The 13713-nt window shown below is 43.7% G+C and overlaps 1 protein-coding gene across 6 annotated transcripts in view, besides 1 other annotated feature; it reads left to right on the plus strand.

Annotated features, from left to right (window-relative positions):
- SNX10 (sorting nexin 10) overlaps positions 1-13713 on the plus strand; it is an 82522-nt gene that overhangs the window by 32667 nt on the left and 36142 nt on the right. The gene's annotated exons all lie outside the window — the stretch shown is intronic.
- Positions 10905-11420: an enhancer, noted in NCBI's record as "H3K4me1 hESC enhancer chr7:26375053-26375568 (GRCh37/hg19 assembly coordinates)". NCBI's record gives its function as "activates a minimal SCP1, AML or CMV promoter by ChIP-STARR-seq in primed H9 embryonic stem cells {active_cell/tissue: H9 hESC(primed)}" and the evidence as "EXISTENCE:reporter gene assay evidence [ECO:0000049][PMID:30033119]".

Below are 13713 nucleotides of genomic sequence, written 5' to 3' on the forward strand. Positions count from 1 at the left end.
TTAAATTGTTTTTGTAGAGATGAGGCCTCACTATGTTGCCCAGGCTGGTCTTGAACTCCTGGCCTCAAGTGATCCTCCTGTCTCGGCCTCCCAACATCCTGGGATTACAGGTGTGAGCCACTGTGCCTGGCCTCAATCATAGCACTTCCAAGCACCGTTCAAATGACTGAGTGGGGAATGAAGGTGCTATGAATAATTATACATACTGTGATGACAAGAGAAAACCAAGACTGTCCTGAACAACCCAGGCCATGTGGTCACCCTAGTTATGGGCAATATTTTACTTCTCTGTTTTTCAAATTTCCTGAATTATATTATTTAAACATTAATTTAAATTTAAAAATACGTAAAAAGAATGATCTTGCTTTAGAATATTTGCTTTCAGAGGTCACAGAACATTTCTTTGGCTCTTTCACCAAGCACTTAAATGTCTCCTGCCTTTTAAAGTGATAGGGATACCGTGGAGACATTGGTCTCAGAGGATGGGTGGTCTCAGAGGTTGGGGATAATCCAGCTGGGAGGCTTTGAAGCTGTGATCATCCCCCTCTGCCCTCTACCATTCTCATGAAAGAACGGGCTAGCATAGCACCTACAGACTCCAAGATGACCTTTTTCTGTGACTAATAAGATTAGGATCCTAGTACGTTCAAAATGTCCTAAGGATTTGCTTAGATCACTTGACAGGCCTGTTCTCCTTTGCCTTTCCCAAAGCAATGTTACAGTTAAAGGTTAGTTTGTGGGATCTGGATTTGAATTTTTTTCTACTGAAGTTTGCAAAATATATATATATATATATATATTTGAGATGGAGTCTCGCTGTGTTGCCCAGGCCAGAAGTGCAGTGGCACGATCTTGGATCACTGCAACCTCAGCCTCCCAGGTTCAAGCAATTCTCCTGCCTCAGCCTACTGAGTAGCTGGGACTACAGGTGCACACCACCACACCCGCTAATTTTTTATATTTTTGGTTGTGACGGGGTTTCACCATGTTGGCCAGGCTGGTCTCGAACTCCTAACTTTCCTAACTTCAAGTGATCCGCCTGCCTCGGCCTCCCAAAGTGCTGGGATTATATGTGTGAGCCACTGCACCCAGCCATCAAATATAAATTTGTTTGACGGATTTGTGTGTAGCTTCATGGTAATGGGGCATACAAGTGACAGTTTTATTGGCTCACATTTGAAGTATACGAAACAAAATTAGAGATTTTTTTTTTTTTTGAGATGGAGTCTCACTCTGTTGCCCAGGCTGGAGTGCAGTGGTGTGATCTCAGCTCACTGCAACCTCTACCTCCTGGGTTCCAGCGATTCTCCTGCCTCAGCCTCCCGAGTAGCTGATACTACAGGTGTTCACCACCACACCTGGCTAATTTTTGTATTTTTAGTAGAGACAGGGTTTTGCCATGTTGGCCAGGCTGGTCTCGAACTCCTGACCTCAGGTGATCTACCAGCCCTGGTGCCCCAAAGTGATGAGATTGCAGGCATGAGCCACCGTGCCTGGCCAAAATTAGAGATTTTAAAAATACGTTATGAATAGTCTTTTACAACTAAAACTGTATTAAAAGTAAATACCAAGGGGTCAGGGTGCCGATATTTATCTCCATGGACTGTGGGGGAGGTTATGCCATTTCGTTAACGAGAAAACGTCGAACAAATTAGTTCTTCCCTTGCTTTTTTAGTTTTTCTACCTACAAAAAGGAGAGAACTAAATACCTTGGCTAAGAAAACAGTGAACACTTCCTTGTAACTGTTCACTACCTTGTGAAAGATAAAGGCACTTTAAATCTCAAATAAGACAATCATGTGGTCCTGGACTAGGTGCACGAAGCCTCATGTCTGAGTCTATCATTTCTCTAGAGCCTCATTTTCCTCTACCCTCCCCATCCGAGTCCAGTGAATCACTTCCTGATCCCACACATGGCTTGCATCTTCTTGCCTCCCTACATGGATCATACTGTACTCTGCACCTGGAACCCATGCCTCCCATATTACCTCCTTCATTAATGCAATGAAAGGTTTTAGTGATGGCCAACTGGGACACCAGAGCAAGGCTGCCTGGGTTCAAGTCCCAATTCTGTCGCTTAAAGCTATATGACCTTTGACACATTACCTGTTAACTTTTCCATTTCTCTGTTTGCTTCACTGTGAAATGGGAATAATATTAGTACCTATCATTTTTGTTTTTGTTTTTTAAATATAATTTTATTTTTCCATATTTTTTGAAAGAGATGGGGTCTTGCTATGTTACCCAGGCTGGTCTTGAACTCTTCAGTTTAAGTGATCCTCCTGCCTCAGCCTCCCAAAGTTCTGGGATTACAGGTGTGAGCCACTGCACCCAGATGAACTGACCATTTTTGTGAGGATATATGTAAAGTGCTTAGAACAGCGATTATCCTTTAGAAGCACTGTCTCTGTGTTAATTATCTTTTTTTTTTTTTTTTTTTGAGACGGAGTCTCGCTCTGTCACCCAGGCTGGAGTGCAAAGGTGTGATCGCAGCTCACTGCAACCTCTGCCTCCTGGGTTCAAGCGGTTCTTGTGCCTCAGCCTCCAGAGTAGCTGGGATTACAGGTGTGCGCCACCATCCCTGGCTAATTTTTGTATTTTTAGTAGAGATGGGGTTTTGCCATGTTGGCTAGGCTTGTCTCAAACTCCTTACCTCAGATCATCCACCTGCCTTAGCTTCCCAAAGTGCTGGGATTACAGGCGTGAACCACTGCGCCCGGGTCTTGTTAATTATCTTTTGAAGTGCAGCCCTTCCAGTAAGCATATGTCCACTAGCCACCACACGATTTGTGGCCTACTGACCTAGGTTTGAGTCTGAACCCTGCTACTTTGTGTTGGATGACAGGGGACAGTTATTCAACTTCTTTGAACGTTAGTGTCTTCATCTGGAGTGCAATATATCACCTGGTTGCTGGGCATGTCATTTGTGATACTGTGTGAACTGCACTGTCTATGAAGTGCCTGGTTTAGCACTTGACAGCTGGTAGATGCTCAGCAAATGTTAGTTTCTTTGGTTTGCATTTGCCTCCCTTTGTAACACTGTGTTTGTTGCCTGATGCTTGTACCTGCTTGGTTGCATCTCCTCCATTAGGCTGAATATGTTTTAATTTTCTTTGTCTCTGCACATAAAAATTTTTTTGGTTTATTCATTGATTTCATCACTCATTTGTTCATTGTATTCATTCATGCATTCTTTTCTTTTTTTTTTTTTTTTTTTTTGAGATGGTGTCTCGCTCTATCCCCCAGGCTGGTGTACAGTGGTATGATCTCGGCTCACTGCAAGCTCCGCCTCCCGGGTTCACGCCATTCTCCTGCCTCAGCCTCCTGAGTAGCTGGGACTACAGGTGCCTGCCACCACACCCAGCTATTTTTTTTTTGTATTTTTAGTAGAGGCAGGGTTTCACCGTGTTAGCCAGGATGGTTCAGATCTCCTGACTTCATGGTCCACCCACCTCAGCCTCCCAAAGTGCTGGGATTACAGGCGTGAGGTGCCCGGCCACATTCTTTTTCTTGTTTATTCAAAAATCATTTACTGAACCACTTGCTAAGTATGTTGGGCCCTACCAATGGAATGTACCCTTCTTCCAGCTAGAGTCAAGAGTAGAACTGATGAGAGCTCGAACTAGGCCAGTGACACTGGAGGCTGAGAGACAGGAATGGACTTAGGAGGTGTTTAGAGAGAGGACTGTAAGGGCTGGCTGACCAGTTGGGTTTGGAAAGGAATCAATGACAGTTTCCAGGATTCTTGCTTGAGCCACCGTGTGGATGCTGACATCATTAATTAAAATGGGCAACATAGAAGATAGTAGAATTGTCTAGGGTGTGGATGGGCAGGGAGAAGGTATCATGTGTCTACCAGCCTGGTTTGGACACAGTAAGTTTGAGGTGTGTGCAGAATGTCCGCATGAAGAGACCGCTAGGAGGTGGCCAGTTCACCCTCAAAGGCAGTTCTGATTCTGGACACCTTTGTACATGATATGGGAGTGGAAGTAGCCAAACCAGAGAATGAGTGTAGAGTGGAAGGGAAGAGGGCTGCCAGTGGCCCACTGGGGAAGTGCCCTGATTAAAGTGGAAGGCAACAGGGAATCTGTGGCTTCTGCTAGGAAGCCACATGTGATGCCTCACCACTGAAACTGCCCATGTGCCCCACCAAGAATATGCCACTGTCTGTGCACTTCAAGGCCAGCCCTTGGGTAGGCAGTACAGAAGTGGGGAGAATGCCTTCTTTCCCATCATGGGCCTCGCTGCAGGCCCCAGGCTGCATGGAATGTTTGTCTCCTTCTCCTGCAACATGTCTCACAGAGAATTCTTCTTGAATGCATGCTATGGTTCCTCTCTCCTTATAGCTGCCCATCCTCATTTTTCTCCCCTCCACTGGATAAGCATAAGTGAGGAAACACGCCAATACCTCCTTCCCCTTGTACACACCTCCACTGCTGCTTCTCAGTCTGGACCACCATCACCTCTGGCCTGCACCATTAGTCATCTCCAAACAGGTCTCCCTGCTTCTGCTTTGGCCCCCTACAGTCTGTTCCACACCCAGCAGCCAGAGGGATCCTGTTAAAACATAAGTCAGGTTAGGTCATGCACCTGCTGAAAGTGCCCCAGTGGCTTCCACATTCCTCACTGTGGTCCACAGGCCCGGTGTGACCCGGCCCACATCTCTCTTTCTGAGATCCTCTCCCTCATCCCCCATACTCCAGCACACTGGTTTCCTTCTGTTCTCCAGATATACCAGGCTCTTTCGGCCTTGGCTTTGGCACACACTGCCCACTCTTCCCGCAGTGTTCCTTCCCCAGACTGTTTTGTCCCTGGTTTCCTTTCTTCTGTCGGGTTTCAGCTCAAATGTCACCTCCTCTGAGAAGCCTTCCCTGACCACCCACATATGAAGTAGTCCTCACCGAGTCCTGGTAGTCACTCTCAAAAACATCACCCAGTTTTGTTTTTCTCATTAAGCTTGTTCATTATCTTGTTCATTTATTTGCTTAGATGTTTACTTTGTGTTCTCTCACTATTATGTAAGTGATGAGTCTGCTGGGATCTTCTCTCCTGAACCCTGGATTCCCACTCAACAAGCGTTAGTTTGCTTAGTTTGCATCCTCCTCCCTTTGTAACGTGGTGTTTGTTGCTGATACCGTGTACCTGCTTGAGGAACCTGCTTGAGGAACAAGGCATCAGGCAATGATCACAGCGTTACAAAGGGAGGAGGATGCAAACTAGTAACCTGGTCATGGAGCCAGTCACAGACGTGGCGGGATTTTTCTTCAGTGGTGGGCGGCACAGGAGAGAAAATAGGGGAGACAAATGTTAGGTTGATCCAGGTTCAGGGCCCTGAGATACAAGTGGCTCGTGTGGCAGTGGGACAGGGAGCTGAGGGTGCAGAGGGAGGGCATGTGACACAGTGGAAGGACGGGAGGTCCACAGGGAGATGGGAAGGGTGGGTCAGGGCTCTAGTGGTTTCATTCAAGTGGAACAGCCGATTGGGTGAGAATGAGGAAGTGCGATCAGGAAGGGCAGGCCCTGGTGGTCAGAGGGAACTTCTAGCCTTACATTTCATGGCCAGGGCTGTGGCCACATGGGGGTTGGTAAGCAGAGGGTTAGGTAACAGGAATGAAGGAGGTAGGCTAAGGCAAGAGCCCGGAATGTTAGGGCTTTACTCATGATCAAGGCCCTCCTTGTAGGAGGTCAGAAAAAGTGGGGAAGTCAGTGTGGAGGGGTCGGCAAAGCCACAGGCATGAGGAGCAGGAAGCTGGAGAGAAGCAGGTCTTGCTAGGAAATGAGGGGGAGGAGGTTGGTCACATTCCTAGGTTCTAGGTACTTCTTGGTAGGTTATTGTCTGGAGATAACAGTGACCAGGACAATTTGGGTTCTGCTGGTCCTGGGATAGAGGGGAGCACATGAGGATTGAGCAGCCGGTACTTGGGAGAGTTACCAGGGAGGGGCGGGTGGAGAAGCCGGGGTGCAGCTAAGATGAAGCTGCTGAGATGGGTGTGAATTGGGGCATTTGCAGCCCTGGCATGAGTTCCCGAGGCATAGTGGAAGGAAGGGTTAGAAGAGGAGAGGGCAGAGGAAGGACGGAGTCAGATCCAGGTAGAGATGAGAGAACCCCAGAGGATGGATGTTGCTTGGAGGCCCTTCAGCCTGGGCAGACATTGTGGCTCATAGGAGGAGGGTGTTTTGGACATGAGGGTTGTGAATGAAATGGGTGAGGCCAGGCATAGTGGCATGCACCTGTAGTCGCAGCTACTCGGGAGGCTGAGGCAGGAGAATCGCTCGAGCCCTGGAGTTTGAGACCAGGCCGGGCAACATAGCAAGACCTTTCTCAAAAAAACAGAACTAAGCTGAGTGCGGTGGCTCACGCCTATAATCCCGATACTTTGGTAGGTCAAGACAGGAGGATCACTTGAGCCCTGGAATTCAAGACCAGCCTGGACAACATGGCAAAACCTCATCTCTACAAAAAAACTTAAGAATTATCTGGTCATGGTGGCATGCACTTATAGTCCCAGCTATTTGGAAGGCTGAGGTGGGAGGATTGCTTGAGCCTGGGAGGTTGAGGCTGCAGTGAGCTGTGATCACACCACTGCACTCCAGCCTGGGTGGCAGAGTGAGACCTGTCTCTAATAAAAAAAGAGAACTAAAAAAAAAAAAAAAGTAGATGTATTAACATAAAGAAATGGGTTAGGCTTCGGGTTTCAGGTAGCATGTTTTTAAAACAGCTTTATTGATACATGATCCACATATAGTACATTCACCCATTTAAAATGTGCATACAGGCCGGGCGTGGTGGCTCACTCCTGTAATCCCAGCTCTTCGCAAGGCCAAGGCAGATACATCACTTAAGCCCAGGAGTTCCAGACCAGTGTGGGCAACATGGTGAAACCCTGTCTCTACAAAAAATATAAAAATTAGCTGGGCATGGTGGCCCATGCCTGTAGCCCCTGCAACTTGAGGGGCTGTGGTAGGTGGATCACTTGGGCCTGGGAGGTCGAGGCTGCTGTGAGCTGTGCTCGTGTCACTGCACTCCAGCCTGGGTGACAAAGCTAGACCCTGTCTCAAAAAATAAATAAATAAAATAAAATATAAATAAAATGCATACAGCTCACTGGTGTTTGGTATATTCACAGATATGTGCACTTATCACCAAAGTCACTTTTAGAGTATTTTCATGACCTCAAAAAGCAGCAACTCTGTACCTTTTGGCTGTCTCTCCCCTACCCACCAAGTTCTTCTCCCAGTCCCAGTCCCAGTAGCTACAAGCAACCAGTAGTCTATGTTCCATCTCTGTAGAAGTTTCTATTCTGGACTTTCATGTGAATGGAGTCATATGATATGTAGACTGTTGTGACCGGTTTCTTTCACTTATTGTAATGTTTTCAGGGTTTATCCAAGTTGTAACATGTATCAGAACTTCATTCCTTTATATTGTTGAATAATACTCCATTGAGTAGATATACCGCATTTTGTTTGCCTGTTGATAGGCAATTGGATTGTTTCTACTTTTCACTGTTATTAATTATGCTGCTGTGAATAGTCATATACAAGTTTTTATTTCTCTTGGATATATATACCCCGGAGTTGAATTGCCAAGTCAAATGGTGACTGTATATTTAATTCTTCAAGAAACTGCCAGACTTTTCGCAAGGGGCTGCACAATTTTTTATTTCCACCAGTAGTGTATGAAGGTTCTGATTGCTTTACCTCCTTGGCAGCATTTGTTATTATTTGACTTTTTAATTCTAACCAGACTAGTAGGAGTAGAGTGGTATCTTACCATGGTTTAGATTTGCATTTCTCTGGTAACTAATGATATCAAGCATCTTTTCATTTGCTTATTCACCATTTGTATATCTTCCTTGGAGAAATTGCTCAGGATACTTTGCTTGTTATTGAGTGGGGTAATTTGTGTTTTTCTTATTAAGTTGTAAGAGTTCTTGATATAGTTTAGACACAGTCCCTTAGATATATGATATGCAAATATTTTCTCATTCTGTGGGTTGTCTCTGATGGTGGCATTTGAAGCACAAAAGTTTTACATTTTTATGAAGCCTAATTTACCTATTTTTTTGTTGTTGTTGCTCATGCTTTTGGTGCCATATCAAAGAATCCTTTGCCAAATCCAAGGCCATAGAGACTAACTGCTGTGTTTTCGTCTATGAGTTTTATAGTTTTTTGCTCTTACAAAATGGTATTTGATCCATTTTCAGTCAATATTTGTATGTGGTATAAGGTAGGAGCTCAACTTCATTCTTTTGCGTGTGGCTATCTACTTGTCCCAGCACCATTTGTTGAAAGGATGATTCTTTCCCCATTGAGTGGTTTCGGTGCCCTTGTTGGGGAAATCAATTGACTAGACAGAAATAAACCTATGGGTTTATTTCTCAATTCTGTTCCTTTGATCTGTTTGTTTGTACTTGTGCCAATACCACAATGCCTTGAGTGCTGTTGCTTTGTAGTAAGTTGAAATTGGGAAGTGGGAATCCTCCTGCTTTATTCTTCTTTTTCAGGATTGTTTTGGCTATTTGGAGTCTCTTGCAATTCCTATGAATTTTAAAATCAGCTTGTCAGTTTGTACAAAGAAGACATCTGGGATTCTGATAGTGATCGTGCTTGAATCCATAGATCACTTTGGGCAGTGTTGCCATTTTAAGATGTTAAATTGTCTTCCAGTTCATGAACATGGTATGTTTTTCTGTTTATTTTGATCTCTTAATTTTTTCCAACAATGTTTTGTGGTTTTCAGAGTATACATTTTGTACTTCTTTTGTTAAATGTAATCCTAGGTATTTTATTCTTTTTTTTTTTTTTTTTTTTGAGACAGAGTCTGGCTCTGTCGCCCAGGCTGGAGTGCAGTGGCGTGATCTCCGCTCACTGCAAGCTCCACCTCCCGGGTTCACACCATTCTCCTGCCTCAGCCTCTGAGTAGCTGGGACTACAGGTGCCCGCCACCGCACCCGGCTAATTTTTTTGTATTTTTAGTAGAGATGGGGTTTCACCATGTTAGCTAGGATGGTCTTGATCTCCTGACCTCATGATCCGCCCGTCTCGGCCTCCCAAAGTGCTGGGATTACAGGCGTGAGCCACCGCACCCGACTATTTTATTCTTTTGATGCTATATTTAGGTAGTACTTTGATGGGAAGTTGTGATAGTACTTCTTACTCTTACCAGGTGAAGGGGTAGAGTGAGTAGAATTGAAAAAATGTTTTGTTGGCAGGAGAGAGGGCAGGGCATTTTCTGCTGTTCTTCAGGAGGTTGTGTTCTCAGGTTTTTCACAATCCTTGGGTAAGGCATCGAGGAATACATCAGCCTTCAAAGAATTTCATGCACCCAGCTACCAATGATTTCCCCCTTTTCCCATCATAATCAAAACCCTGTGTGGTGGAAAGGGATGACTGATGAGTGAGTAGCTGAAGATAGCTCCTGGTTAATACAAAGGCAATCCGATTGGACTAATTAACACTAATATTTAAATCACTAATACCACTCCCCCAGCTTCTGAGATTTATCTGCTGTTCCAAAAGATGAAAATTATTAGCACAAACAAATCACTAATTAAAAGAACCTTGGTAGCATAAGCAAAGTGGGAGGTGGGAAAAATGCTTTTGGATTTGGCCTGGGATGTCAAGGTAGTTTTTTGTTTTTTGTCTTTTTAAACTTGCTGTATCATAGTTATATGTATTTTTGAGGTACATGTGACATTTTGATACATATGTACAATGTGTAATGATCAGATCAGGGTAACTGGGATATCCATCACCTCAAGCATTTAAGGACAGTTTTTGAAGAGAGAGAATGTCACAGTACGAGTTAGGAAGCACCTGTGCCAGTGGTCATTTCCTCTCTCTCATATGTAATTTTTCACAGCTTCTTTCCTTTTATTCTGTTTAGTAACTGGGTTGCTTCTTAGTGTGAGTGAGTACAAAGGGAGGTGGAGGTCAGGGCCAACATGCACATGCAGGTATGTTCTCAGTGTCTGCATCTCAGGTAGCACTTTTTCAAAATGACATTCAAATAATTGTGAGGTTAAAATTCTGTAATTTTTTTTGTTTCTTGGATTTTAAACCCTAAATTTGGCCTACTATCAAGTTCATGACCATAAATGGAACTTGTATGTCATAGAGATTAGCAAGTTAGTGGTTTCTTTGATTTATGTCCTATGAACCAGTATTTTTTTAGATTGCTATAAACTTTAAAAAAAGATGTGCTGTCATATCCTCTTTTTTTCTTTTGTGATGAATGGTGGAAAAACTTAAATGCAATTTTATTTGTGTTTCTAACTTTAACTGAATATCAGAGTTCTGCTGTTTTTCCATCTTGGTTTGCCTTTTCTAGTTCTAATCTGGGACTGAGGGAGACAATTTGGGCCTGGTTTGCAGATGGTTCTGCTTGCTCTGCAGGCCCTCCCCAAAAGCGTACGGCTGCCTGCCTTCAGCCCAGCTTTCATGTTTTGGTGCAGCTCTAATTTCTTTTTCTTTTTGTTTGAGTTCCTTTGATTGCCCAAACTGGGGTCACCTTCAAGCCACCTTGAGTAAAGGGATGCTTATGTTAAGGACACTGTGCACAGGGAACCTCAGAGATGCTGGACACGGAAGCCACTGGGAAAGTGGCCCCAGGCAGGCCTGCACACTTCAGCAACCGAAGCTGGCTCCTGTGATTCAGCTTGTCTGGTGGCCAATTTCTGTGGCCTTTAGTGTCTTTTATCTACATCATGGCTCATATATACTTGTGTTATACGGGTATAACACAAGAACCTCTGGTCCCTCAGAACCCCAGCTGTGATGTCATTATCTCTCCAGTTTCTCTTTCATCACTTTCCAGCCTCCATTCTTAAAGAACCACCAAATGTAGTAATATTTCCTAGGTTCAAGTACGAGGAGGGAGCCATTGCCCAGCCCTTTCTTCTTTTTGTGCCAGGCTGTGCCCTAGGTACCCTCTAGCCTGTGGACTGACTTCTTTCGAGTCAGACATCCATCCCTGATCCTCCCTACTGTGTCTGGGGAGGGTCATGACAGCCAGCCGCCTGTAGATCTGCCCTAGGAGCAGGACCTTGGTAGGCTCTTCCCCAGCAGATCTGGGAGGGCCCTGGCACCACCACAGATGTGTCCAGTGCAGAGCCAAGGGCATAGGTAGTATTGAGAGCAGATACGGGAAAACTTGGCACAGAACTAAACATTGAATTTAAAATAACCTCGCAGATGGAATATTCTTTTTTTTTTTTTTTTTTTTTTTTTTGAGACGGAGTCTCGTTCTGTCGCCCAGGCGGGAGTGCTGTGGCGCGATCTCCGCTCACTGCAAGCTCCGCCTTCCGGGTTCACGCCATTCTCCTGCCTCAGCCTCCCGAGTAGCTGGGACTACAGGCGCCCGCCACTGCGCCCGGCTAATTTTTTGTATTTTTAGTAGAGACGGGGTTTCACCGTGGTCTCGATCTCCTGACCTCGTGATCCGCCCGCCTCGGCCTCCCAAAGTGCTGGGATTACAGGCGTGAGCCACCGCGCCCGGCCTGGAATATTCTTAAGAGATGAAAGTAAGGAGTCAGTGATTTTTTTTATTTAAATAGAAAAATAGCTGAACATTGTGGGAGGAAGTGAAACACAGAGTGAAATTAACTTGACTGCTGTTTGTTTTTTGTGGGGAGGGAATAATAAAAGTAACTGAGCACATTAGGTTTTACTTTCTTTTAAAAAACATGTTTTGTTCTTAAACTTTAACAAATGCACTGTAATCTTTTGGCGAAATACAGAAAAAAAGGAAGTAAAAATCAGTCATAATCCTACCACTTAGAAATGACTACTGTTAATTCTTAATTTTATTGTGCATAAGCTCCAGTTCTTAAGTAAATATGTAAAAAAAAAAAAAAGTGCTTTTAAAAAATCACTTAATAATACTGTTTGAGGCCGGGCATAGTGGCTCACGCCTGTAATCCCTACACTTTGAGAGGCTGAAGTGAGTGGATGACTTGAGGTCAGGAGTTCAAGACCAGCCTGGCCAACATGGTGAAACCCCGTCTCTACTAAAAATACAAAAAAATTAGCCGGGCTTGGTGTGCACACCTGTAGTCCCACCTACCGGGGAGGCTGAGGCACGAAAATCCCTTGAACCCAGGAGGCGGAGGTTGCAGTGAGCTGAGATTGTGCCACCGCACTCCAGCCTGGGTGACAGAGCGAGACTGTCTCAAAAAATAACAACAAAAAATCAACAATACTGTTTGAACAGCCCCGATCATTTAATATTCTTTTATAACAATTTATAATGGCTATGAGGTAGTCTGTCATGCAGATGGAACATAATTCATTTTTTTTCTACTCCGCTTATGGACGTTTAGGTTTCCATTTTCTTTGATTGTTTCTTAAAAACACTGCATTTTGAACATTCTTTCCTGTACAAATATTTTGCACATGTAGCACTGATATTTTTTTAGATTGAGTTCCCAGAGGTCAAATTATCGAGTTAAAGAATATAAACAATTTATATTGTTGCTTTTGAAATATATGGCCAAATTATCTTTCAGAAATATTGAAATAGCTCACATTCCTACCAACAGTATTTAGTTCCCATTTCTCATGATCCTTGCCAGCAGTGGATATTATTACAGAAATTTCTAATTTTAAAGAAAAAAATATGGTACTTGTTTTTATTTGCACTTCTGTTAATAGCAAGATGAAACATTTAAGTAGATTATTGACCTTCTTTCAAAAACTTTATTTTTAATTGTGGTAAGAAACACATGAAATTTGCAATCTTACCCATTTTTATTATTTTTTTCACATGGTCTACACCATACTAGTGTATAGACCTTACCACTTTTTAAATGTACACTTCAGTAGCGTTAAGTGTATTCACATTGTTGTACAATAGATCTCTAGATCTTTTTCATTCACAGAAGTGAAACTCTGTATCAGTAAACAAGAATGTTCCATTTCCCCCTTAAATGCTCCTTTCACCCTTTCCTCTAGCCCTTGGCAACCACCATTCTACTTTGTCTTTATCAATTTAATTTCCTTGAAAACCTCATGTAAGTGGAATAATAAAGGATTTGTCTTTTTATGATTGGATTATTTCATTTAGCATAATGTCCTTAAGGTTCGTCCTCTTTTGTAGCATGTGGCAGAATTTCCTTCCCTTTTAAGGTTGAATGGTACCCATTGTATGGAGAGACCACATTTTGCTCATCCATTACATTTCATTGATGGACACTTAGGTTACTTCCACCTCTTGGCTATTGTGAATAATACTGCTGTGGATGTGGACCCACAAATAGCTCTTTGAGAGCCTGCTTTCAGCTCTTTTGGATGGATATCTGGAAGTGGAATTCCTGGATCATGTGGTAGTTTTCTGTAATTTTTTGAGGAACTGCTATACTGTTTTCTATAGCAGCTGCACCATTTTACATTGCTGCCAACAGAAGGGTTCCGATTTCTCCATATCCTCCTCAATGCTTTTTTGGTTTTTTGTTTCTTGGATCTATCCTAACGGGTGTGAGTTAATTTCTCATTGTGGATTAGTGATGTTGAGCATGTTTTCATATGTTTATTGGCCCTTTGCACGTCATCTTTGGAGAAACGTCTATCAATTCCTTTGTCCTTTTTTTTTTTTTTTTTTTTCTGTGAGACAGAGTCTTACTCTGTCACCCAGGCTGGAGTGCAGTGGCATGGTCTTGGCTCACTGCAGCCTCTGCCTCCCTGGCTCAAGCAGCCCTACAACACCAGCCTCCC

The sequence above is a fragment of the Homo sapiens genome, chromosome 7, assembly GCF_000001405.40.
Source record: "Homo sapiens chromosome 7, GRCh38.p14 Primary Assembly".
NCBI classification, from domain to species: domain Eukaryota; kingdom Metazoa; phylum Chordata; class Mammalia; order Primates; family Hominidae; genus Homo; species Homo sapiens.